This window comes from Homo sapiens, chromosome 10, assembly GCF_000001405.40.
Source record: "Homo sapiens chromosome 10, GRCh38.p14 Primary Assembly".
Classification (NCBI taxonomy): domain Eukaryota; kingdom Metazoa; phylum Chordata; class Mammalia; order Primates; family Hominidae; genus Homo; species Homo sapiens.
This window is the reverse complement of record NC_000010.11, coordinates 59,477,799-59,504,525: the sequence shown is the minus strand read 5'-3', so window position 1 is coordinate 59,504,525 and position 26,727 is coordinate 59,477,799. Positions and strand designations below refer to the sequence as shown.

The following is a 26,727-nucleotide window of genomic DNA, read 5'->3' as shown; positions in this document are numbered from 1 at the left end:
TGACGTCTCCAGAGTACTCAGGGCAGATGGTTCCAGCAGAAAGTTGGCTGAAGTTTAGGGGTGAAGGTAGCTGCTATTATTATTAAATATATACATTTTTCTTTTTCTCAGAGAGGATTTTTTTTCTTGTCTAGAAGCCAGCTAGCAGATTTCCTCTTCTCTCTTTGGCCAGAACTGGGTAGCCCTGATCCTCCAGCCCCTAAGCCATATTACTTGTTGAATAACTGAATGGATTCTGCATTAGTTCATTCTCACATTGCTGTGAAGAAATACCCGAGACTGAGTAATTTATTTAAAGAAAAGAGGTTTAATTGGCTCACAGCTCTGCATGACTGGGAAGGCCTCAAAAAACTTACAATTATGGTGGAAGGGAAGCAAACACGTCCTGTTTCACAAGGTGGCTGGAGAGAGAAAGTACAAGCAGGGCCAATGCCAGACACATACAAAACTATCAGATCTCTTGAGATTCACTAACTATCAAGAGAACAGCATGGGAGAGATTCCTCCCATGATCCAATTACCTCCACCTGGTCCTGCCCTTGACATATGGGAATTATGGGGATTACAATTCAAGATGAGATTTTGGGGGGGAAACAGCCAAACCATATCAGATTCCATATATCAGTTCTCAAACATTATATTTTATGTGCTACAATTCCTCTTTTTAATGAACCCAATGTATTTTAATGATACATGCTAAATACAGGCCTCACATGTCACATCAGTAGCCAGTGACCACAACTGCCTCGCTGAACGGGATAAAGTCCTAATTCTCTGAAGATGGATGCCCACCTATAAACATGGATTGACAAATGGGTGTAGCATGCACAACCTGTCAAACAGTCTCAAGTTGCCAGGCTGTTCAAGCCGTCAGCTGATGTCTTTTCTTCAAGGAGATAAAATTTGGCTTTTGGTCCCTGAGAAAGTATTTATTTGAAATCACATCACTGTGCCCATGCTCAACCCAACTTTACAGATATATTCATTAGTTAAAATCACAACATTAGAAAAATACGTAACTTCGAACGTAAAAGTGTCCTGTAATTCCAACTGCAGAAATAACACAGTGTTGACAGCATGGTATAGTTTTTTTTTTTGTTTTGTTTTTTGTTTTTTGTTTTTTTTTTGAGATGGAGTTTCACTCTTGTTGCCCAGGCTGGAGTGCAATGGCGTGATCTCGGCTCACCACAACCTCTGCCTCCCGGGTTCAAGTGATGCTCCTGCCTCAGCCTCCCGAGTAGCTGGGATTACAGGGATGTGCCACCACACCCAGCTAATTGTGAATTTTTAGTAGTGACAGGGTTTCTCCATGTTGCTCAGGCTGGTCTTGAACTCCTGACCTCAGGTGATCCACCCGCCTCAGCCTCCCAAAGTGCTGGGATTATAGGCATGAGCCATCATGCCCGACCTTTTTTTTTTTTTTAACTTTAAGTTCTAGGGTACATGTGCAGAATGTGCAGGTTTGTTACATAGGTATACATGTGCCATGGTGGTTTGCTGCACCTATCAAGCCGTCATCTAAGTTTTAAGCCCTGCATGCATTAGGTATTGGTCCTAATGCTCTCCCTCCCCTTGTTTCCCATCCCCCAACAGGCCCTGGTTTGTGATGTTCCCCTCCCTGTGTCCATGTGTTCTCATTGTTCAACTCCCACTTATGAATTATAACATGCAGTGTTTGGTTTTCTGTTCCTGTGTTAGTTTGCTGAGAATGATGGTTTCCACCTTCATCCATGTCCCTGCAAAGGACATGAACTCATTCTTTTTTATGGCTGCCTAGTATTCTATGGTGTTTATGTGCCACATTTTCTTTATCCAGTCTATCATTGATGGGCATCTGGGTTGGTTCCAAGTCTTTGCTATTGTAAATAGTGCTGCAATAAACATACATGTGCATGTGTCTTTAGAGTAGTGTGATTTATAATCCTTTGGGTATATACCCATTAATGGGACTGCTGGGTCAAATGGCACTTCTGGTTCTAGATCCTTGAGGAATCACCACACTATCTTCCACAATGATTGAAGTTTAAAAGCGTTCTTATTTCTCCACACCCTCGTGAGCATCTGTTGTTTCCTGACTTTTTAATGATTTCCATTCTAACTGGCGTGAGATAGTATCTCTTTGTGGTTTTGATTTGCATTTCTCTAATAACCAGTGATGATGAGCTTTTTTTTCATTTGTTTGTTGGCTGCATAAATGTCTTCTTTTGAGAAGTGTCTGTTCATATCCTTCATCCACTTTTTGATGGGATTGTTTTTTTCTTGTAAATTTGTTTAAGTTCCTTGTAGATTCTGGATATTAGACCTTTGTCAGATGGATAGATAGCAAAAATTTTCTCCCATTCTGTAGATTGTCTGTTAGCTCTGATGATAGTTTCTTTTGCTGTGTAGAAGCTCTTTAGTTTAAGTAAATATTATTTGTCAATTTTGATCCTTCTAGATATTATTTGTATACACTAACATATATATGATACAATACGTGATACAATATGATACAATACTTTTTTGGGTCAGTATTGGTCCTTGGAAGCTCTATTATATTTCAAACGTGATAGCTACTCTCCAAAGGTATCCCCTAGTGAACCACACCTCCTGGTATTGATGTCACATCACATTGAATCGGCACTGGTGTTGTGACTCACATTAGCCAAGAGAATGCAGGAGAAGGGTCACTGTGGCAGTCTTCAGAAGACCTGGTGACTTCTGCTTCTGTGCACTTTGGAGTCCTGAGCCATCATGTAAGAAGCCCAATGACTCTACTGGAAAGACCACAAGGAGAGACCATGTGGAAAGGCGGTAGAGAAGGAGAAGTCCTGAGACCACATGGAGAGAGAAGCCCAGTGTCCCATTGTCCCTGCTGAAACCCGCCTTCCATTCTTCCTTGTTGAGGCCACAAACATGTGAGCGAAGCCATTTTGAATGTTCCATTCCCAGCTGTGACTGGACCCCAAGGGTGAGCATCAGAAGAATGCTGATGTCCAGCTGTCTCAGTCAAGCCAGAGAACTGTAAGAAATGTTATAAGATAAACATTGGCACATTAAAATTCTAGAGTTTCACTTATAAGTGGAAGATGAACAGTGAGAACACATGGATACTAGGAGGGGAACCAACACACACTGGGGCCTATTAGGTGGCAGTGGGGGGATGTGGGTAGTGGGGAGGCAGAGCATCAGGATAAATAGCTAATGCATGCAGGGCTTAATACCTAGGTGATGGGTTGATAGGTGCAGCAAATCATCATGGCACATGTTTACCTATGTGACAAACCTGCATGTCCTGCACATATATCCTGGAATGTAAAATTAAATTAAATGTAAAAACCCCTCAAATTTAGAGTTTAGTTGAGCAGACAGAAAATCATGATTTGGGCAGCTTCAGACCACAAGTGGTTCAGGGATTTGCCAAAGGGGCAGGTGAGGAAAGCTTTTAGAAGGTGAATAAAAAAGCAGGGCAAATAAAATATTTGATTGGTTAAAGTAGCCTTATTTGGATCATTCCAGTGGAAAGTCCCTAGTGAAAGGCTAGTTGGCAGTTTCTGATTGGTTAAGACTGGTTACACTGAATCTAATGGCTTCCCAATTAGTGATGTTAATAGAAATAGTAAAATAGAGATAACTAAAATAATAATACAATGGATACCCATAAGACTACCAACCAAATCAAGAACTGAGACACTAACAATGACTTGCATCTACCTACATGCTTCTGCTCATCCCATTGCCTAGCCTTCTGCATACAGGGAAGCTGGGTGAAAGGTACACAGGACTCTTTGTATTATTTTTGCAACTTCCTGTGAGTGTACTATTATGTCAAAATATAAAGTTCTTTTAAAGGAGAGCACAGTAGTATGATACTTAGACAATACTAATCACTGATAAATGTTAGTTTCCTTCCCTTTATTTGTCCTCATCTCAGTCTCCCAGTGCTCAGGTTAAATGTAAAGTATGTTTGTCAGGTAACTCCAGTTATTAATGAATGAGGACTTCAAAAGAAGCTTACCTCTTTCTTGCTGCCTGGTGAGAAATGAGCAGGAGACAGAATAATCAGAAGCACAAGGCATAGGCCCTTGTCAAGTCTAAAGGCTTATCCTTCAGGGCTCCTGGCCTGGAGTATGTAGTGTCAGCTAGGATACTGCTGCATGCAAGCTCCTGAAGGCTGTCATTAGTTCTTTAATTATCTCCCTTTCTGCAAATAAAGAGCACAAAAATGCACTGGGCAGCTCTATTTATCCTGCCGAGGTGGCTTCCTGCATAGTCAACAAAATTAGACACCTGTAAATACTTTTACAATGCAGATCTGCACTGTAGGGAAAAACAGTTTAATTGCTGTAAAGCATTTTATCTCAGTGCTCTCCTTAATTTTCCATTACCCTGCGTGTCACGAGGTCCCACAACACATTTCTTCCTCCCCTGCTCTCTAACCTGGGTCTTGGATGCTTAAGTCAGGGTTCTCCAGAGGTACAGAACCAATAGGATATATGTACATATATAAAAGGGAGTTTGTTAGGGAGAATTGGCTTACATGATTACAAGGTGAAGTCCCACGATAGGCCATCTATAAGCTGGGGAAGAGAGAAACTGCTAGTGGCTCAGCCCGAGTCTGAAAGCCTCAAAACCAGGGAAGCCGACAGTGCAGCCTTCAGTCTGTGGCCAAAGGCCCTAAGAGCCCCTGGCAAACCACTGGTACAAGACCAAGAATCCAAAGACCAAAGAACCTGGAGTCTGATGTTCAAGGGCAGGAGGAATGGAAAGAATCATCCACCACAGTAAAAAAGGAAACCAGAAGACTCAGCAAGCAACCTTATCCCACCTTCTTCTGCCTGCTTTGTTGTAGCCACACTGGCAGCCAATTGAATGGTGCCCACAGCCTTGAGGGCGGGCCTTCCTCTCCCAGTCCACTGACTCAAATGTCAGTCTCCTCTGGCAATACTGTTGCAGACACACCAAAAATCAATACTTTACCAGACATCCAGGCATCCTTCAATCCAATCAAGTTGACAGCTAATATTAACCATCACAGATGCAGTGGAACAATCAGTTAAATACCTGTTGTGTCCTGAGCACACAGTAGCCCACAGAATAGCTATGTGCTATTACCTTCATTTTATAGATGAGAAAGCTGAGGCTGGGAATGGGAAGCAAATAAGCAGCATTGCCAAAATTTGATCCCACATCCGTTAAATGATTGAGCCTATAACCTCCTGTCTGCTTTGCCCCGTCTCCTCTCACATAGTAGTGGCAAAGGTCAAAGGGATTGGGTTGATCTGGGTGGGTTAAATGTAGCATTTGTGATTGATGATTTGCAATGTTCTTATTGTGACTCTCTGAGTCAGGACTGTATCATTGAGTCTTGTCATAGTGACTAGCATCCCGCCCTCAGAAAGAACAGAATTTCAGGTAATGAAGGACCCTCTATTTTAATGCTTATACTTCTGTTTCCTAAAGGGAGGGAATCAAGGAAGATGGGAAAGCCAGAGGGAATAATAGACTCAGGCCATCTCTCAGCACAGAGGGAGCTTCGCTTTTGGCTCAAATCCCAGCTCTACCATTTATTTATTTTGAGATCTTGGGCCTTTGAAGCTGTATGGCACCTGTTTTCTGTAAAATGGTTACCAAAACAGAAGGCAGTGTCCACTAATGCAGGTTTCCCCAAGTAGCCTGATAAAAATCATTTCAAATTCAGATTTCCAGGTCCTTCCTCTAGAAAATTTCAGTCAGAAGATCAGAGGTTGAGCCCAAATGAGGCTGGCCAAGATGTATCATGTAGACCCCCTCATTGAGCCAGAAGTATCCCATTGATCTCAGTGTTATAGAATCCAATGACAGGGTAGGCCTGGTCCATTGCCCCCCTTACTCAGGCACAAATATAGTTATTGTTAAAGACCTCCAATGTGCTTCCACCCTAAATCTCAGGTAGACTAATATTTGGCCAAAGCCAAGTATTTTCCTGAATTTATTGCTGCAGAACCCAAATGTTCTTCCACCCCCAAATCCCAGGTAGATTAATGCTTGGCCAAAGCCAAGTATTTTCCTGAATTTATTGCTGCAGAACCCAAATGTCTTGGAGAAATACATGGATAGGTCTTTAGACCAGAAATAGGACCCATTCAGCTGGCACATACTTGGATATTTGAGACATATTGATCTGGAACTGGAGTGGAGGCCTGAATAGGAAAAAGTGCTAACAAACACTAAAGATAAACTTAGAAAGAAAATAAAAATTTCTTACTATTTGTAAGAAATTAAAATAATAAAAGTAATTTCTAATATTTATTTAGTACTTAGCCATTGCTGAAACTGCTTTCCATGAAAGGGAGGAATTTTTCTAATGTTAAAAATTAACTCTGTCTCTCATTTTCACTGACAATGCCTCCAACAGCAAATGAATGCAGCCTGAAGTAGCCTGCACCAATAGAAAAAACTGACCTTGATATTGCCCTTTCAGAATTAGACAAGACTTTAACTTTTCAGCACACAGCTTGCTATACTCTCTGGTTTGATGGCAAAGTCTTCAAAAAGGAATATTTTACACACTTGTCCTGTACATCATCTTCTCATCCTCAAAAAGCAAACATAACAACAACAACAACAACAACAAAACTCAAATGCCATAATTCCGTTGTGTAACAGATACAAAGTGAACGCAATTTACAGTAGATCATGGTCTGAAGAAAGAGTAATTACATTAAGATATAATGTATCTTGCTGTCATCTCAGGAATGGAAATGGGAACAGATCACAATAATCCTAATGCCCTTGGGGTAATAATTTTTATCTCATGCATACTTCACATTGGCACTGCTTTTGAATATGCTACCTGGAGGTGGGAGGAAGCTCCATTTAGATGCAGATTACAGCCTCAGGCTGAATATTTACTTGAAAATCTGTACTTGGGTATTAAGCATAAGAAATGTACTTTATGATAAAATTTGAATTATTAATTATAAATGAAGTGGAAGAGGATTTTAAATATTAAAAAATAGAAGAGAATAAACAAATTCTTATAAATACCACGGAAGTGGATGGCCTGTACTCTCAAGGAGGACTGGGAAGAATGGTCCTGAGAAGATGGTATTTCTCAGACTACTATCCTGTGGGTGGTTGTGGCTGAATAAGAATCTTATGCTTTTTCATAGCATAATGCTATGTTTCTTAATGCTATGTAAAAGCACTTGAGATAATCAAAATTAAAAGAGCTCCAAGTAGTTGTAAATATGACCTGAGTGGTCTGAAGATGAAGAACTATACAAGTTCTACCTGACTCCAGTGTCATACTCATGCAGGGGTGGAGCACTAGTCTGCCTGGGGTGCACTGCTGCCCCACTGGCAATTCCACTCCCTCCAGCAGTGGGGCCAACACACATACCATCTAGGTGCCTGAGGACTAGCTTACCCAGCATCAATATCACCAGAAAAGCCATGCCACAGCCTCCACAAACAACTGTAGCCTAGGCCACTAAGTACTTATAGACACTGCTGATGTTGATTGCAGTTGAAGAAATCATACAGAAATTACACTAGTGTTCTCACCAGGAACCAAAGGCAAAGCAGCCTACCCAACTGACACTGCAGGACATATCTACAGAAAAAAGTTTTTCGCTATGAAAACTGCTCCATAAAATTGGAAGAAGTGAGAGTTCCACCACATGCACCGATATTGACATGGGGACTCAAGGAACATGAAAAAGCAAAGACACATAACACCTCCAAAAAATCACAGTAATTCGCTAGTAACAGACCCTTCAAAAAGGAAATCTGTGAAATGCCTGAAAAGGAATTCAAAATAATAATCTTAAGGAAGCTCAGTGAAATACAAGAGAACATAATAGACAACTGAAATACTAGAGAACATAAATAGACAATTCAACAAAATCAAGAAAACAAGTCATGATAAGTGAGAAATTCAACAAAGAGATAGACATAAAAGAACAAAACAGAAATCTTTGAACTGAAGAATTCAGTGAATGAAATAAAAAATACAATTGAAAGCTCAATAATAGACAAGATCAAGCAGGAGAATAAATTTCTGAACATGAGGGCAGGTTTTAAATAACCCATTAGTGGGGTGTTGGGGGGATGTCTCCTGGGTAATCACCAAACTTCACACTTATACAATGGGCCCCAGTAAAACAGTGGGCCTTAATAAGCACATTCTTTCCCCTTTAGGCACACTAAGATAGGGAAGCTAAAAGCAGACTGGAGTGGAGGGATTCCTGCAGCTGCCAGAAGGTGTATGGGCACAGACCCAGAAACTCTCCCTCCCAGATAAGCAAAGCAAAGAAACACAGACTAAAAGTCTGATAAAAACTCTTTTCTATACAGATTGCACACCTAGTCCCAACTAAATCTTCAGGCCCTAGGAGGACAGGACATCCTCTCCTCACTAGCCCCCTCCTCATTAGCCCATTTATAAAAACCTTGACATTTTTACTACAACTTGGCAACCCACTTGGGACTCCTCTCTGTAACAGAGAGCTGTTCTTTCCTTTTGCCTATTAAACTCTTGCTTCAAACTTAAAAAAAAAAGAAAGAAAAAACCCATTAGTTAAATAAATAAATAAATAAATAAATGAAAAAATTTAAAAATGAAAAAAATCTCTGAAATATGGGGCACCATTAACTGAATAAACATCTACATTATGGTAATTACAAAAGGAAACAAGATGGGAAAAGGCATATAAAACCTACCTGATGACATAGTAGTTGAGGCTGGGCATGGTGGCTCATGCCTGAAACCCCAGCACTTTGGGAGGTCAGGGCGGGTGGATCACCTGAGGTATGTAGTTCAAGACCAGCCTGGTCAGCATGGTGAAACCTCATCTGTACAAAAAACATAAAAATTAGCCAGGCATGGTGGCAAGCACCTGTAATCCCAGCTACTTGGGATGCTGAGGCAGGAAAATTAGTTGAACCTGGGAGGCAGAGTTTGCAGTGAGCCAAGATTGCACCACTGCACACTAGCCTGGGCAACAGAGCAAGACTCTGTCTAAAAAAAAAAAAAAAAAAAGGAATAATAGTCGAAAACTCCTCAAGTCTTGGGAGAGATATAGGCATCCAGATACAGGAAGCTTAAAAATTCCTCTCCAAGGCACATTATAGTCACATTGTCAAAAGACAAAGAATTTTTAAAACAGCAAGAAAAAAGCATCAAGTCACATCAAGGGACTCTCCATCAGGCTAACATATTTTTTAGCAGAAAACTTCTAGACCAAGAGAGAATGGGGTAATATATTCAAAGCATTGAAAGGAAAAAAAATTGTCAGCCAAGAATACTATACCCAACAAAGCTATCCTTCAGAAATGAAAGAGAACTAGTCTTTCCAAGACAAGCAAAAATTGAGGGAATTCAACACCACTAGACTGGCCCTGTGCTAAGGGAGTCCTTCATCTGGAAGAAAAATGATAATATCTACCATCATGAAAACACATGAAAATATGAAACTCACATCAGAAATAGAAAGAAATCAAATGTTGTCACTACAGAATACAAACAAAACACAAAGCTAAACAATAAGAGAGGAATAAAGGAATAAAAGATACATAAAACAACGAGAAAACAATGAACAAAATGACAAAGTAAGTCCTCACCTGTTAATAACAACATTGAATATAAATGGTTTACATTTTGCAATTGAAAGAGATAGATTGTTTGAATGGATTAAAATAAAACAAGATCCAACTATATGCTCATTTCACATGTAATGACACACATAGCCTGAAAGTGAAGGGATGGAAAAAAGATATTCTGTGCATATGGAAACCTTATTTCAGACAAAATAGACTAAGTCGAAAACATCAAAGGTCACAAAGAAGGTTGTTAATTAGTGATAAAGGGATCAATTCAGTAAGGGGCTTCAACAATTATAAATATATATGTACTCAATACTACAGCACCCAAATACATTAACCAATCAAATATTATTAGAGCTAAAAAGAGAGAGACCCCAATGAAATAGTAGCTGAAGACCTCAACACCCTACTCTCAGCATTGCACAGATCATCTAGAAAGAAGATTAACAAAGAAACATTGGACTTAAACTATACAGAAGACCAAATGAATCTAAGATACATTTGTAAAACACATTATCCAACAGCTGCCATATGTACATTTTTTATCTGCACATGGAATATTTTCCAGGCTCAACCATATGTTAGAACGCAATTCTCAACAATTAAAAAAGTTGAAATCATATCAAATATCTTCTCAGATCACAATGGAATAAAACTAGAAATCAATAACAAGAGGAACTTTGGAAACTACAAATTCATGAAAATCATACAACATGTTCCTGAATGACCAATGGGTCTATGATGAAATTCAGAATAAAATTTTATGAAAATATTGAAACAAATGAAAATGGAAAACAATGTACCCAAACCTATGGGATATGGCAAAAGCAGTAATAAGAGGGAAGTTAATAGCAAATAAATGCCTACATTAAAAAAAGTAGAAATATTTCAAATAAACAACCTAACACACATCTCAGGGAACTAGAAAAGCAAGAACAAACCAAATCCCAAATTAGTAGATGAAAAGAAATAAAAAAGATCAGAGTAGAACTACACAAAATAGAGAAAAATAACTCAGAATATACTGTATCAATGCAACAAAAATTGGTATGTAAAAAGATAAACAAAATGGATAAATCATTAGCTAGAGTAAGAAATAGAGTATATTCAAATCAATGAAATTAGAAACAAAAAAGATATTACAATTGATATCACAGAAATACAAAGGATTATTAGAGACTACTTTGAAGAGCTGAAAATGTATCTACAGAGTTGGTGGGGTAGGACACTTTGGCTTTCATTCTGGGTGCATGCAATGGTGTAGTCTGTATAATTTATTTGGCTCTAAATGGTGTCAGTGGGGTCTGATTTCCCTAGTGATTTAGGGTGTGGTTGTTAGTAGGAGCTGTGGTGAAGTTTTGGTAGTGATGGAGATGTCAGGTGTGCCAGTCCTTGGGCCCCAGTGATGGCATTGACGAGCTGGATGTGTCTGTGTTATGGCACCTGTGTTATTGGGCCCATGTGGGCCAGTTCTTGAGATTACAGTTGGTTTGTTTAGGTGCAGGCAGTGGCACTGATGAGCAAGGTGAGTGGGCAGGTCCTTGGGTGGATGAGCAAATGATGAGCAAGTGATGAGCAAGTGAGTGGGACAGTGGGCATAGCATGGGCAGTGGCAGTAGTTGTGGTGGGACAGCCTTCTGATTCTCGAGTGGCCCATGCTGGTGTTAGCAGTGGCTGCAATGGGCTGGGTGTGTCAGTCTCCAGGCCAGCAGGTGGTGCATGCAGGTGGGTGCCCACTGTGGTGGTAGCAGCAGGCAAGGTGGGCCCATCGTCAGGCCTCTGAGAGGAGTGTTCTGCTGCCAATTGTGGTGGATGAGGTGGGGTGATCTCTAGGCCTGAAAATGGCATGTTCAGGCACTGGTTGAGGATAGTGGAGCCAGGTCTGGCAGGCATGTTCATAGGACTCCTGATGGTGCATATGAACACTGACTTCGGTATGCAGAGGTGGGTTAATTCCCAGGCCTCTGGTGAAGTTCTTCGGTGAGGCAGGCAGTGGAAGTGGTGAGTGGGGGTGCCTGCCCGCAGGACATATGCAATTGCTCTGTATCCCTGCAGCTGGGGCAGGTGGGGCTGTTGTTAGAGGCAGCAGCCTCTAACACCTGGGTAGGCACCTGGGGAGAGCCTAATTTGGCACCAGGCAGTGGTTGTGGGTGAGGGAGCTGTCCTCAAGGCACATGTAAATGTGCGGAGGCCTCACTGCTACAGGTGGGTGGGGTTATTGCACATGGCTCATGCTACCATCCTGATGGCAGCAACCAGTGGTGGTGGTGGACATGGGTAGGGAAGTCTGTCTTCAATGCACACACAAATGTGCGGCAGTCACACAGCTAGGGGCAGTGGGATTGCTGCTAGTAGCTTGCACTTTGGCCCCAGTAGCAACTGCCAGCAGCAGCAGCTTAGGTAGAGGAGCCTGTACTCAGGGCATGTGCAAATTCATGTGGCCAGTCCCACTGCTGAGGGAGGAAGAGTGGCTGCCAGAGAGGTGGGTGCACTTTGACCATGGTGGCAGCCAACAGTTGCAGTAACTACTGATGGGGATGACGATAGGGCTCCAGGGATGTGGAGATGCAAGGGGTATCGGGCTCTAGGGCACGATGCAGTCTGGCGATGGCTGATCTCTCAAAATGATACCATGCTGTAGCTGCTTAGGTCTTGGGGGAGGTGTATAGAACTCCAAATGAGCCCATCCCTGGAATGATACCGTTAAGCAGTCTCCAGGCAGCTCCTTATGTTAGTCTCAGGCTCCATCAGGGTCGAGGGGCTCTCCTGTGGCTAGGATTGCAGGAGTTCTTGTTGGGAATAGACTGCTGGGAATTTCTCACTTACTCTTTCTCTGAACTGAGGAGGCTCTCAGGGCTCCCAGCCAATCCTTGCTGGGCAGGCTGCTTCTCTTCCCTCTCCTTTCTGGCCTTAGGAGTTTTCTGTCACTTTCTGTTGAATTCCAGTGTTCTCTTAGGTGATCTATTCAAAGGGTAATTATCTACTTTCTATTTTGGTTCTCTTTTGTGGAGGAGGCTAGTGCCCGATGCCTCTAGTCAGCCATCCTGAAGCCCCCAGAAATTTTGTTTTCTTTTTTTTTCCTACAAGGAAGAAGTATATGCCAAGAAATGAGAAAACCTAGAGGAATGGATAAATTCCTGAACACATATTATCTACCAAGATTGAACTAGTAATAAACAAAAAAACACAACAAAACAAAACCAAAGGAGTGTTTTTAAAAGAATTCTTTCAGTGGAGAATAAGTACTGATGTAGGAACTGAGCTTCAATTCTCACATTGAAAATACATTAAGATAATTACAAAAATTTAAAAAAGATTGAATCAGGAAGAATTAAAAAACCCGAACAGATCAATAATGATTATTAATGAGTAATGAGATTCAATCAATAATAAAAAGTCCCCCAACAAATAAAAGCCTAAGACCAGATGATTTCATTGCTAAATTCTACCAAACATTTAAAGAAGAACCATACCAATTATTCTCAAGATATTCCAAAAAATTGAAGAATAGGCAATTCTTCCTAACTTATTCTGCAATTACCCTCAAACCAAAACCAGATAAGGACACAGAAACATTAGCAACAACAAACTATATGCCAATATCCCTGATGAACACAGACTCAGAAATATTCAACAAAACACTAGCAAACTAAATCCAACAACACATTAAAAAGGTAAATCACTATAATCAAGCGAGATTCATCCCAGTGATACAAGGGTGGTTCAATATACCCAAATCAATGAATGTCATATCAACAAAATGAAGGACAACAACCATATAATCCTCTCAATAAACACAGAAAAGTCATTTGAAAAAATTCAACATCCCTTCATGACAAAAACTCTCAATGAATTAGGCATAGAAGGAACATACTTCAACACAATCAAGGCCATATATGACAAAACTATATATAACATTATACTGAGTGGAACTAAAACAAAACAAGATGCCCACTTTTACCACTTTTACTGAACATAGTATTGGAAGTCCTAGCCAGAGAATTTAAGCAAGAGAAAGACATAAAAGGCATCCAAATTGAAAAGAAGTAAGTCAAATTATCTCTCCTGGCAGATGACAAGATCTCACATGCAGAAAAAAAAGATTTCAGCATCAGCAACATCTCTTAGAACTGATAAGCAAATTCAGAGAAGTTACAGGATACAAAATCAACATAGGAAAATCAGTAGCATTTCTATACACTAATAACAAAATTGCTGAAAAAGAAATGGAAAAAAGCAATTCAATTTATAATACTTGTAAAAATACTTAGAAATAAATTTAATCTAAAGGGTGAAAGAACCTACAGTAAAAGCTACAATAGAAATTGAAGAGGATACAAAATAATGGAAAGACATCCCATGTTCACAGAATGGAAGAATTAATACTGTTGAATGACCATAGTGCCCAAAGCAACATGCAGATTCAATGTAATCCCTTTCAAAATACTAATTACATTCATCACAGAAATAGAAAAAAAATTCCTAAAACTTGTATGGAACCACAAAAGACCCTGAATAGCCAAAGCCATACTAAGCAAGAAGAACAAAGCTGGACCATCACACTGTGTGAATTCAAAATTTACTACAAAGCTACAGTAACCATAACAGCATGGTGCTGACATAATAGACATAGACACAGACCAATGGAAGAGAATACAAAACCCAGAGATACAGCTACATATTTCCAGCCAATGGAGTTTTGACAAAGGCACCAAGAACATACATTGGAGAAAGGACAGCCATTTCAATAAATGCTACTGGGAAAACTGGATATCCATATGTAAAAGAAGAAAACTAAACCCCCATTTCTCACCATGTATAAAAATCTACTAAAAATGAATTGAAGACTTAACTAGAATAAACGTAGGGGAAATTGTTCAGGACATTGGCTTAGGCAAGGATTTTATGGGTAAGAGTTCAGAAGTACAGCAACAAAAGCAAAAGCAGACAGATGGGAATATATCAAACTAAAAAGCTTCTTCACAGAAAAGCAAACAATCAATAGAGTGAAGAGACAACCTGTAGAATGGGAGAAAATATTTTCAAACTATTCATTTGACAAGGAATGACTAATATCAGACTGTATAAGGAACTCAAATAATTTATCAGGAAAAACCCAAATAATCTTATTGAAAAATAGGTAAAGGATTCGAATGGTCATATCTCAAAAGAAGACATACAAATGGCCAACAGGTATATGAAAAAATGTTCAACACCACAAATCGTCAGGAAAATGCAGTCAAAACCACAATATTATCTCTCTCTAGTTAGAATGGCTATTACCAAAAATATAGAAAATAACAAATGCTAATGAGGACGTGGAGAAAATGGAACATTTATACACAGTTGGTGGGGTTGTAAATTACTATAGCCATAATAAAAAAAACTATGGAGATTATTAAAAAAATTAAAAATAGAACTACCATATAATCCAACAATCCCATTACTGGGTTTTTATATGTAGGAAAGGAAATCAGTATACTGAAGAGAAATCTGCAGTTCCATGTTTATTGTAGTACTGTTCACAATAGCCAACACATGGACTCCACCTAAGTGTTCAACATCAGATGAATGGATAAAGAAAATGTGATATATATACAATGGAATACTATTCAGCCATAGAAAGAACGAAATCCTCATTTGCGGCAACAAGGATGAGCCTGGAGAACAGACACAGAAACATAAATATTGCATGTTCTCACGTATGGGAGCTAAAAAAAGTTGACTGCATAGAAGCAGAGAAGAGAATTGCAGTTTTTAGAGACTGAAAAGGGTAGGGAGAGGGGAGGATAGGAAGAGGTTGGTTAATAATTACAAAATTACAATTTCATAGGAGGATTAAATTTCATTGTTCTATAGCACTGTGGTGTGCATATAGTTAATAGTTAATAATTTATTGTATATTTTCAAATGGCTAGAAGAATGTTGAATGTTTCCAATACAAAGAAATGATAAATGTTTGAGTAGATGGATATGCTGATTAACCTGATTTGATCAATACACATTGTATACATGCGTTGCAACATCACTTTGTATTCCATAAATATGTACAATTATTATGTGTTAACTAAAATAAAAAATAACTTTACAGATACTTAAGCTTGTTAATGTGATGTAAAAGCACTTGAGAGAATCAAAATTTAAAAAGCTCCAAGTAGTTGTAAATGCAACATCCGTGACTTAAAGATGAGGCAGAACTACACAAGTTTTACTGAACTTCCATTGTATAAAATGACACAAAGGCCAGGGCCAGTTCAATGAAAGAGAATTGATGATCTAGACAGGAATGATTTCTGTTGAACATTTTTCACTCTAAGTAAATTCAAGTCTTCTGATCTGAAGAGATAAAACCCTGTGAGGCACAAAGATAGCTTGCAGGTAAGAGGCATTTTCTGTACCCTTTATGGAACTCTATGGACTGGAAGACATATGAAAAAACTGCAAAGGAAAAAATAGATGAACTTTTTTTTTTTTTTTACAAGAAAGAAGGTATTTTTTTTTTCTTTCGTGAGCTAGAGATTCCTCCAAAGCAAAATTCTGGAATAAAATAACAAACAGATGATTCAAGAAACAAGATGATCATTTAGAGTTGATATGGATTCACTAAAAGTGAAATATATGTCACTAAACCAAATTTCTTTCTTAATTGGTTTATTTATTAGAGCAATAGATTCAGAGAGTGCTTTTATGTAGTATGACTGGATCTTATTAAGGTGACTAACGATATCTTTCTTGCTTCTCTCTGTAGATGAGATAAATAAATAGGGACTATGCTATAGTTACATTAAATTTGTTATTGATTGATCAAGATTGATCAACTTGGAAGTAAATCTCTGGTAATTTGTCATAGGACTTTGTCCTCATATCTGCCTGCCTGACTAATCATTTTATTAATGACTAGCAAAAAATATTAGTGGAAGGCCAGTGAAGTTTCAATGGGGTAAGAAACTGGAAGGTTGGTGAAAAGAGATAATGATAAATGGTCATCCCAAAATTATTGACTGGCTTAAACGATAAACTGAACTCTAATGAGATAAAATTGAAGAGAAATAAATAGAAAAGCCCATGCTTCGTTTTAAAAATCTAGCAGTGGAAATGCAGCTAAAAGAGTGAGTAGAGCACAGACTCGAGGACTGTGTCTGGTCCAACTCCAGGGACTACGACTTACCAGCTGTGTGATCTTGGACAAGCAAATTAAGTGCTTGTTCTTGAGTTCTCTGCATCTCAATTTCCACAGCTGTAAATTGGTAATCATAAAAGTAATTGTCTCTTAGGTATGTTGGGAGGATTGGATGAGTTAATATCTATATAGCATCTACACTCACCTGGCTTACAATAAACAGTGTGTATGCTAGTTATATTATTGTTGTTGTTAATGTTGTTGCAACAAAGAAACAGATTTCAGAGTTTTAGATAAAATTTCAATATAAATTAGTGGCATAATAGGACTAACAGGAAAGCATGTGAGACTTGGCTTGCATTAATATAATTATTTTTGCTTTAGCTTTGGTACCCCAGAAAGCAGAGACTGATGCAAACACTTATGTACTACTGTTATATCAGGGGAGTGGGAATGAAAGGAAAGAGAAGTGAGGCTGGAAAGAAAAGAGAATCAGCATGAGAGTCCCTTAAAAACTTGGCCACTGCTTGATATCAAGAAGAACTGATGGCTTGATTTCATGGGGTGTTTTCTCATAGGCTTATGAACCATAGCATCTCAGGCTGGTCTATATGGGGGAAGAAAATAGAAGAATTTAACTGTGAGCTCCAGTCTTACAGTGATCAAATGCCTGTCCTGGGGGTGTTATGCAGGTGAGAACTGAGCAGGTCTGCTACAAAAATAAACTATAGTATTTCCAGAACAATGATTACGAGGCTCAAAATTGTGCACCTAAGTAATGGGGTTAACCTGGAAAATAATTCATTATGATTATTTTATATTTATATATTCCGTGTTTGTTTAAATGTATCCACTACTTTCCAAGTTTCTTTGCTCGTGGTTGTTTCTTGTGTCTTGCTTATTTTTTCTGGAAAAACATCTAGAAATTCATTTAGCTGGACTCCCTTAGTGATGAAGTATGAGGGGGGTCTTCAAAAAGTCCTTGGAAAATGCATATTATGAAGAAACTATAAATGAATTTCAAATTTTTTTGCATCAAAATAAACTACAACTAACTTGTTATAGTGTGTGTGAACAGAACTTAGTTTGAGGCACTAAGAAGGATAAGACACTAGTTTGAAAACAGCCCCTATCAGAGCAACATAAATTCTGCTAAACTTGAAGCAAGGACAAACATCAAATTTATAATGAAGCTTGGGTGGAAGAATGGAGACATCACTGATGCTTTACAAAAAGTTATGAGAAAACTATCCCAAACCAGCAGTTTACAAATGGATAACTAATTTTAAGAAGGAACAAGATGGGGTTGAAGATGAAGCTCACAGAGGCAGACTATCAACATCAATTTAGAAGGAAAAGAAATCAATCTTGTTTGTGCCCTAATTGAAGAAGACCAATGATTAACAGCAGAAACAACAGCCAACACCATAGACACCTCAATTGATTCTGCCTGCACAACTCTGACTGAAAAATTAAAGCTGAACAAACTCTCCACTTAATGAGTGCCATAACCATTAAGCCCAGATCAGCTGCAGACAAGAGCAGTTTTCAATGGAAATTTTAAATAAGTAAGATCAAGATTCTGAAGCATTTCATCAAAGAATTGCAACATGGGATGGAATATGACTTTACCACTATGATGCTGAAGACAAAACAATGGCTACGAAGAGGTGGAAGTGGTCCAGTCAAAGCAAAAGAGAACAAGTCAAGAACAAAGGTCATGGCAGCAGTTTTTTGGAAAGCTCAAGGCATTTTGCTTGATGATTTTCTGGAGGGCCAAAGAATGGTAACATCTGCTTACTATGAGAGTGTTTTGAGAAAGTTAGTCAAAGCTTTAGCAGAAAAATGCCCAGGAAAGCTTCACCAGAGAGTTCTTTCCCAGCATGACAATGCTCCTGCACATTCCTCATACTAAACAAGGGCAATTTTGCAAATGTTTCAATGGAAAATCATTAGCATCCACCTTACAGTCCTGATTTGGCTCTTTCTGACTTCTTTCTGTTTTTTAATCTTTAGAACTAGAAATACCTTTTGACCCAGTAATCCCATTACTGGGTATATACCCAAAGGATTATAAATCATTCTACTGTAAGGACACATGCACATGTATGTTTACTGCAGCACTGTTCACAATAGCAAAGACTTGGAACAAACTGTAATGCCCATCAATGATAGACTGGATAAAGAAAATGTGGCACATATATACCATGGAATACTAGGCAGTCATAAAAAAGGATGAGTTCATGTCCTTTACAGGGACATGGATGAAGCTGGAAACCATCATTCTAAGCAAACTAACACAAGAACAGAAAACCACACACTGCATGTTCTCACTCATAAGTGGGAGTTGAACAATGAGAACACATAGACACAGGGAGGGGAACATCACACACTGGGGTCTGTCGGCAGAGGGGAGCAGGGGGAGGGATAGCATTAGGAGAAACACCTAATGTTGGTGACTGGTTGATGGGTGCAGCAAACCACCATGGCACATGTATACCTATGTAACAAACCTGCATGTTCTGCACCTGTACCCCATAACTTAAAGTATAATAAACAAATATGTGTATATATATATTTTTTAATTTTTCTTTTTGAGATGGAGTTTTGCTGTTGTCACCCAGGTTGGAGTGCAATGGCATGATCCCAGCTCACTGCAACCTCCGCCTCCTGGGTTCAAGTGATTCTCCTGCCTCAGCCTCCCGAGTAGCAGAGATTACAGGTGAATGCCACCATGCCCAGCTAATTTTTGTTTTTTTTAGTAGAGACACGGCTTCACCATGTTGGCCAGGCTGGTCTTGAACTCCTGACCTCAGGTAGTCCACCCGCCTCAGCCTCCCAAAGTGCTGGGATTACAGGTGTGAGCCACCACACCTGGCTTGTTTTTTAATCTTAAAAAAATCCGTAAAGGGTGCCCAATTTTCTTAAGTTAATAATGTAAAACAGATTGAATTGACATGATTAAATTCCCAGGATTCTCAGTTCTTTAGGGATGGGCTAAATGGCTGGTATCATCACTTCCAAAAGTGCCTTGAACTTCAAAGAGCTTATGTTGAGAAATAAAATTCATTTTTTAAAAATTTTATCTTTCAATTCCAGTTTCCCATGAACTATTTGAAGTCCCGTCATATGGTTGAAGAATCTCTAAGTCAGAAGGAATTTGACAATTCCAAAATTCATCTCATATACTAATCTCCCTTAGCAAAATCATCCCCAGGTGGTTCTCATGCTTCTGCTTAAACAACTCCAGCAATGGGGATCTCTATCTCACAAGTCAGGAATTCTATTCTGAGACAGCTCATTTCAGAAAGTTACAATGGTAAAGTGTATCCACAGATGTAAAATGTAATGAGAGAAAAAAAATTTAAAACAAAGGATTTGTCACTTTATTAAAAAAAAAAAAAAGGGATGACCAAAAGTCCCCCTTGGAAAGATGTGTTTACTATAGGACTTGTATTGCCACATGGGTAAGGTTTATGTTTTTTTGAACCATTGGATGCTATATGGAATAAAAGAGAGCAGTATTTCTCAAAGTATCTGTGGTGAAGTATCAATTTTTAAAAATCCCAATTCATCACAGACTAACACATGGTCTTTCTACTGCACAATGCCTAGTATGCAGCTTGCAGCATGCTGGCTCATTGCATAAATCCAACAACACCCAAAATAGTCTATATCTCATTCAATTAGACAGATTCACTGATCCATGCTTTGTTGTCCCAGAAATGCTAAATTTTTATAAAAGTTACTTTAATTAACTTTAAATTTCTGTATTTATTTTTTTCAAAGACTAGAAGCAAATTGTTTGCAGATCAATTTATTCTGAAGACTTACTTTGGCACTGAAGTATACAGTAGAGGATCCTAATGGTCCTAGTGTTTATTCTCGGAGATCCAGACATTAGTTAGCTCTATGGGAAAGCAATAGCCATTTGAAAAACACCTGTATTAAATTAGTCAATTCAATTATTTCTTACTACTTATCACTGTTATGTTAGCTGGTCCAACAGGTCAATGTCTTTTTTGATCTAACATTATTCCTGCTTAATAACGGGTAATATAATGTGAATGCATAGAATTCAATAATAAAGTGAAACTTCTAATCTCATAAAAGATGCAGGATTTCCTGAAGATAATAAGTTAATGTTGAAGAGCTGGGTAGATCCCTCTAAAGCCATTGACAAAGAAAATCTGGTAATATTTGAGCAGAAAATGCTGGAGGAAAGAATCAGCAAGGGCAATGATATGATACCTTCAGAAGAAGGTACAGTCTTTGCCTACCAAAGTATTGAGAGAAATTATTTGGAAAATTGATGACACTCTTAAATACTTTTGCAAAAGTAATTTTTTTCATAATCATACTGTGTAAGTTAAATGTATGATGAATGATGTTGTGTTATGTAATCAGTTTTGTCAGAAAACTTAGCTATCTCTGTTTGGTTCACTCTGTCTTTGCTAATAAATAGAGTATATTTACAATCTTGTCTAATGTGATTAAATCTAAAATAAAATAAACTTACTTTCACGAATTTAAAAAGTATTTTTTTTTTTAAATCATGACATTAACAATGAAAATGTGGCCCCCACTATAAGCTTACTCTCGGTAGACTTTTTTCGTGCCAGTTGGTCTCAGCGAATGTGGCTCTTCAAACTCTGTTTAAAAACAGTATCACGCAAATGAGTGCCGAGTCAGTGGGACAGTTTTCATGTGACATTGTCTCAGTTCCTGGTTCCACATGGCTCAGCAGGCAGGAGTCGTCTTTCCTTCCAAGAGGGATGCTAGTGTGGAAAAGGGAAACCTCCTTTGATTTTCAGAAATTGCTTCCTGTTCCTTAAAAGTTGAAGCAGAAGATGTTTCTTTAAAAAAACAGAATCTACTAGAACCTGAATTCCACAGACACATTTAGTCAAAGAGGAATTTCACATATAGAACACCTTTTCCCTTTGATTGACACTAAGAAATGTTATCCATTGAAGGTAGAGAGGCAGAAGAATTTCAGTATTAAAAGTATTTTTGTGATGCTGGGTCTGTTGTGTTCTGACTTTGCTAGAGTGTGCAATCTGTAAGAGAAGAGAAAGGTTTACACATGCGGTAATCAACACTGCAAGGCAATGAGTAATTAAGAATGTAAATAAATGTGGAAACAGTTTATTTGCTTCATTCATTCATTTGTTCATTCACTCTCCAACTTCTTTCAGAAAGAGAATAATTCAGGTCTAGTTTAACCAGATTTCAAAGAATGGGGGAGATCAGTTGAGGCTTGGGGTGGTTATGGAAAACTTCTGGGAAGAGATGGAATGTGAAGTGAGTCCTGATAGTCGAATAGGATTTCCGTGTAGATGTGTGGGAAGAATGAAAAGGGTAATACAGGCAGGGGCAGAAGTGTGGTCAAGCAGTGCCATCAACTCTCTGGACTTGCAGGACGTAAGCATGTGGTGGGAGAAGAGGTTCACATTAGGGACTGAAGGGATATCCCATTGTATTTGGAAAAATGGAGGCATATTATCAAACGCCTCCAGTGTCTGCCACTTTAGTGTTTGCCCCTCAGTCGCAGGTCATGTAGAGCTACTGAAGTTTTCTCAGCAATTGAGTGACAGAGAATGGATTTTACCCCCTGGATTAGTGATATCTTGCCATGGCATTTATCCTGCACAGATGCAAGTACTCACCATATATTCGCTTCCTGACTTACAGGCAGATACTTTATGCCTTCTGTGATTTTAAGTTTATCCCACAAAACACATACCTTTTTTTCCTCAGTCTTATTCCTCCTCCTTCTTACTATTTCCTTTCATCCCCATAACCCTTGTTTTCTCCCTCTTTCTCTCAGTCTGGTCCTTCTATTATGCTTACTTTTCTCTCCTCTGTCATCATTCCTTTTCTTCAGAGACCACAATGATCTTGCTCCAGCAAGGGCTGGATAAGCTTCTCCAGCTGACAGTATATTTTATTTTTCTGTTACAGTGGGTATCTTTGTTGTTTTCTTTATTTTTCCAAAAAGGGAGGGTGCAGGGACTTTGCAAACACATTCCATATTTAAGGAGAAGAAAATCAATAAGAGCATCAGTAAGGTAGTGGGGAGAGCTGGCTTCAGGACACCTGAGGGGATTTCTGTACTGACCCCATACTTGTTACCTTCTGAGAAATACAAATTTCAATTGCTGCTCTGCTTATTTTTATCCCAGAAAACTTAGGACATGAATTCTTCAGGTTACAGAATTTTTTTCATTCAGATTTAGTACCATAAATTGTTAGTTGTAGGAAATCCATGAAAAAAGATATAAATTTGAAAAAATTAAATATTAACTTGGTATGTGTGAACTAGATAAATTCTAAGTGTTTTTTTTTTTTTTTTTTTTTTTTTTTCTAATTCCCTTCTTCCGCCAGTGTTCCCTTTAGGACTCTGGATGGCATAGAGGAAAGCATCCCAGACTGAGGAGAGGTTCCAGCAGCTGCAAAATGTTGGGGTAGCAAAAAGGCCCAGCTCAGTAGTGGAGGGAAGATGCATTACCTCAGAGGGAGTCCAAGAGGATGCATTGCTGCTACTTAAGACAGATGTCATATGCCAACACAGTATTCAGCAAACATTAAAACTGACAACCAGAAATGGTAGGCAATACATCTCAGAATTCCCCTGTCATATTTTTTACTTTTCCTGAAGTATATAAAGGACAAATGATATGGTTTCAATTATTTGGTAAGAGAAAGAGGTAGAAAAAAGTGCCTTCAGTTGGTATTGTTTCTACATAATTGATTATATTTTGAGATTTGAGGGTGCATAGTACTGTATAGTAGGATTATTTGGGATCCTTTATTTAACTCATTTATCCATGTCAAAAGGTAGAGGTTCCAACCTCTCATCACTCCTCTCACTTGGTTCTAACTGGTAGGGAACAGACTCAGGGAATCAATAGTGATTAATAAGTTGGCTTTACAAATGGTGCCCTAATGGTTCCCGATATGGTTTGGCTGTGTCCCCACCCAAATCTGACCTTAAATTATAATAATCCCCACATGTCGAGGGCAGGGTCAGGTGGAGATAATTGAATCTTGTGGGCAGTTTCCCCCACACTGTTCCCACAGTGGTGAATAAGTCTCACAACATCTGATGGTTTTATAGAGTTCCCCTGCACACACTCTCTTGCCTGCTGCCATGTAAGATGTGTCTTTCTCCCCTTTCACCTTCCACCATGATTCTGAGGACTCCCCAGCCATGTGGAACTGTGAAGCAATTAAACATCTTTCCTCTATAAATTACCCAGTCTTGAGTATGTCTTTATTAGTGGGGAGAAAACAGACTAACACAGTTCTCCAAATACAGGGCTCCTTGGGAAAGCTGGATGGGAGAAAATAGCCTAGCCTGAAGTCAAAATGGAAGCATTCTGTTAACATCTGCTCATGCTCAGACCTTGTGATTTGCTGGTGGGGAGAATTGGAGCAAAAATAGACCCTGAATTCATTTGCCTAAAAGTGGAGGATAATAAACCCCTTTATATACAGAGTTGCCAATAGATTTTGAATACCAGGGAGATATGAACCTTCAGCCTTGTGTCTAGAAGGCAGAACTCACCCTCACAGGGAGCAAGAAAGAGAAGAGGGCCACTGTGAGGTGGACAGCACAGAGAAGGTGGAAAAAAGTCCATGTTGCTTCTTCAATTTGCCCACCCTGATACAAACAATAGAAGCAGCAGCAGAAAAATAATTAAACAGAAAACAGAGGGCTGGAAACATACCTCCATAGATGCTAAACTCTCAGTTCAGAGACTGTCCCCTTCCCTTGGCAAGGAACTAGTTAAGATACTAAGAGAGATGGTGATGGAGACTTTCCCCCCTGCCTCAGTAGAGAGTGGAGCAAAAGCCCTGCCTAGGCAACTGGAGGATGGAGGAGTATGAGGAGGAAGAGTCATAGAAATCCCCTCCAATGGATACATGAATCCAGGGTCTAAGGGAGCATCCTGATAAACTGAATTTCAGTTTCCTAGTCATGCTAGGATTCTATAATAACAATTTATATTCACTATTGTACTAGGATAATGCTACATGCTTCTGTCTCATACAAAAGTCCCCAACCAGCAGATCAGAATCCACAATTAAAGCTTCAGTGAGCAAAATGAGGGTGACCACTGTTCTTAATCAAAGGTGACCGCTGTTCTAAATCCCTCTCTCAGCTCTTTGCTAGAACTCCCAGGGGCAAGATGGCAATGCTGACAGAAATGATACTTCCGCCCCGTTGCCTCCCGCTGCCTACTCGAGCACACATTCTGTCATCTTCCTGCTTCCTGGAAATTGAAATCATTTGAGGTAAATAAAAAGCAGATCATCTTTAATACAAAAAATGTGGTGACTCTAATCTGCTTACGTAGGCACAGTGATTGGGGGGCACAGCCTCATGCTTTGGAGTAATTGGGCTCTAGGCAATGGAGTGTGATGTTGCACATTAGGTGAAATCTAATCCTGAGCCTGGGAACTCACACTGTTAGAAAATGGGCTACTCTGTTGTATGCAATGGGTCTAAACCCTTATTTTTGGCACCCGGTGGCAGAAAGCCAAGTTGTTGTCTATGGTCTTCTGTTCTAGTCAGTACCCACTTTTATGGATCCTAGCAAAATGCTTTCACACTTTTTCTCCAGGTTCTTTTTAGCTCTTTAAATTAACTCTCAGAAGGTGTGAGTTAGCAGAGATGGAAAGGATTTGGTTAGGTGTTAATTCTTTCTGTCTTGTTTGGTTAGAGAGTCTCACATGTATCAGAATGAGTCAGATTCATCTTAGGTCTTAGAATCTCCAGCAGGGTTGCAGAGATGGCTAGCCATCCATCAGAGATGCATATTCTGCCTCTACAGTGTAGACTCGTGGCTGGAAGGTGCTGCCCCAGTGAGGGCTAAATTGTCCAGCTGCCCATGCCTGCCCCCCCACCAAGCCCTTGTATCTACCTGTGACCATGTGACTAGTTCTCACTAATGGAATGTGAGCAGATGTGATTTATCACTTCGAGGTTGATGTGATTATGAAGCAGATGTGCCTTACTCATCCTCTCCTTCACATCTGGACCCTGGAAGTGAAGGATTTTGAGGCCCTAAAGGAAGGTGGAGCCACAAGATCAAAAAAGCCTGGTTCGTAAATAGCTTCCAGCCCAGCACCTGCACTGAACTGTCTCATGAGTGAGAAATATGTTCCTATTATGTGAGGCCACTAGATTTTGGAGTTTATTTGCCGCAGCATACAGCATTACTTTAACAAATATAGCCATCCAAGTTTATTCCTGGAATAAAATAGTAGGTACCCAATCAATATTTTTGAATAAATGAATGATTGAACTTGCTTCCTTTTGGAAGCTTGTGTAATGAATCTACAGTAAAGGGAGCAAAAAATGGTTAGTGAGTAAAACCACAGAGGTTGCAGAGAAGAGGCTTTGTTGGAAAAGCGACACAGGAATTAAGCACAGAATAAATTACTTCTGAATATTATGATATGGTGTTTCTAGATGGTACCCAGATCAGAAGTGGTCATTTATCTGACAACACACATGGGACTCAAAACTTCTCTCATTCCACAGAGAAGAAAACATGCGTATTAGTTGCAGCAGTCATTCTACAGCACTGGAAGGGAGTTGCCTTTGTATAGCTCTGGAAAGCACACACACAGACATACTGCAAAACCAATGTAGGCAAAAATAGCCAGAGTTCTAGAGAAAGCACTTATGTCTACTGCAGAAGCTTAGAACTCTCTGCAGTTGATCACAATGGTAAGAGTGAGAAAATAGCCTTATACACATCAGGGTAGCGTGGACTACAAACCCCTTCATGAGATGACCACTTTTTCTCCCCCACCACATTGCAAGTTTCCCAAAGAGATTGTGCTCCCACAGGCATCAGGGCCTTTGCCCACATTGTTTCTTGTGCCACAGCAACTAGAAGGTAAAGAGCCTTCAGTCCCATCTATGAGGGCTCTGGGATTTTTCATTCAGCCTTGCAGACTCAGTTGAAATGTCACCTCCTCTGTGAAGTCTTTTCTGGTCTTCTTTGGTCTCTTTCTCTTCTGTG

At 39.3% G+C, this 26,727-nt stretch overlaps 1 long non-coding RNA gene across 1 annotated transcript in view; it reads left to right on the top strand.

The window, feature by feature from the left end:
• LOC107984235 (uncharacterized) overlaps positions 1-24,982 on the top strand; it is a 59,254-nt gene extending 34,272 nt beyond the window's left edge. Inside the window, exons 2-3 of the long non-coding RNA XR_001747457.1 lie at positions 23,075-23,296; positions 24,856-24,982. This is a non-coding gene — a long non-coding RNA (uncharacterized LOC107984235). The remainder of the gene's footprint in view (positions 1-23,074; positions 23,297-24,855) is intronic.
• Positions 24,983-26,727: the final 1,745 nt, after the last annotated feature.